The sequence below is a fragment of the Homo sapiens genome, chromosome 7 (genome assembly GCF_000001405.40).
Source record: "Homo sapiens chromosome 7, GRCh38.p14 Primary Assembly".
Classification (NCBI taxonomy): domain Eukaryota; kingdom Metazoa; phylum Chordata; class Mammalia; order Primates; family Hominidae; genus Homo; species Homo sapiens.
Genome location: NC_000007.14, coordinates 137,861,642 through 137,863,057, shown reverse-complemented (window position 1 = coordinate 137,863,057; position 1,416 = coordinate 137,861,642). Strand labels below are relative to the sequence as shown.

Below are 1,416 nucleotides of genomic sequence, written 5' to 3'. Positions count from 1 at the left end.
CTCAGGTGAAACAATCAGATTAGGTGCTTTCTATGGAAGCAGAACTAATGGAAGAACTGAACACAATGTCAATAAAAATGTAATTGGGGATCAAGAGATGTTTGCTTGAAGAACAAATTAGAGTTTCTGGAATCAAAAGAGATTCTGAATTAAAAAAATTATTAGAGGATACAGAAAGTTTATTTTCTTTTGCTTTGTCCCATAACAAATCTACTGATATTCCCATAAGATAGTAATTAAGTCAGCCATTAGCTTTTTCCTTTTCAAACTCAAAAAACATCTCTCATTCCTTTCCTTTTCCCCATTTTAATTTTTTTCAGTAATCTTCATTACTTGTCTCTTAACTCTCTTAAATCTCTCCATATCCTTTTTAAAAAAGTAATAATGATTTGAGCAGCTCAGGGAAGCCACTGTGTTCCACGTGATTACATGTTCCTACAAGAGGTCAGAGGCTTCCACATCAGCAAATGTCAGAGTAGCATTCAAAACTCAGTCAGCATTCACAGATACGAAGCAAAACGCAAAGTCATTTTGGCAGCTCCAGTGCTGTGAAGAACAAACACATCTCCTTTTATGTGAGTTACAACTTTCTGCATAATGTCTTCCCTCCTCTTCCTTCCTACTTTCTTCCCTCTCAACGAATTCAGACAGAGCTATTTTAATAGTATCTTTTCTGTTATTGTTATTTAATGTTTATTGAGTAATGGAGCAGGAAATACATCAATGAGCTCTTGACTATCAGACTACAGTTATCCATTAGCTTGGATGAAGCGATCATTTGGAAGTAGTTCAATGTTCAGATTGGCAAGCACACTCGTGAATTTACTTTCTGTGATGGAAAAGCATCAGAAGGATCCATATCTATTCCTGAGAGCAAGGGAACACAATGGTATCTTTAAGAAGTGCTGCTGTTACTCCCTGTGAAAGTGCTCCTGATACCATTGCCTTTCTTCCTTTTTGGTAGTCACAACCTGGAGAGAAAAGGGAGGAATAAGAGAAGGAGGGAGAACATAGAGAAAGAGAGAGAGACTTTTGTTTGTTTCTCAGGAGGAAAAAATGGAGCAATTTAGTAGTAAGGGCCTCTTTCAGGATGTTTAGGGCAACAAAATACACGATAAGGTGGAGTCGGCCTCAAGTCTCCAGTTCCCACCTCATTCATATTTATTAGATTCTTGGAGCAAGAAGGAATCTTGGAGAACCTCTCTTTCAACTTTCATTTTATAGATAAAAGAACTAAACATTAGAAAAGTTAGATGACCTGCTTGAAGCCACACAACTTCTTGGTGATAAAGACAGAGCAGCCAGGGCTCCAAATTCTCATCAGCATCCTTTCCACGACCAAGTCCTTCTGAGACAAGTTGTTGACTATGGCATGTTTGGTTTAGGTTTTCCTGTACTTGCTTTGTTTTATTTTAA

The 1,416-nt window shown here is 37.5% G+C and overlaps 1 annotated feature.

The window, feature by feature from the left end:
* Positions 381 to 675: a silencer, noted in NCBI's record as "tiled region #13047; K562 Repressive DNase matched - State 9:DNaseU". NCBI's record gives its function as "represses a minimal TATA promoter and a strong SV40 promoter by Sharpr-MPRA in K562 cells {active_cell/tissue: K562}" and the evidence as "EXISTENCE:reporter gene assay evidence [ECO:0000049][PMID:27701403]".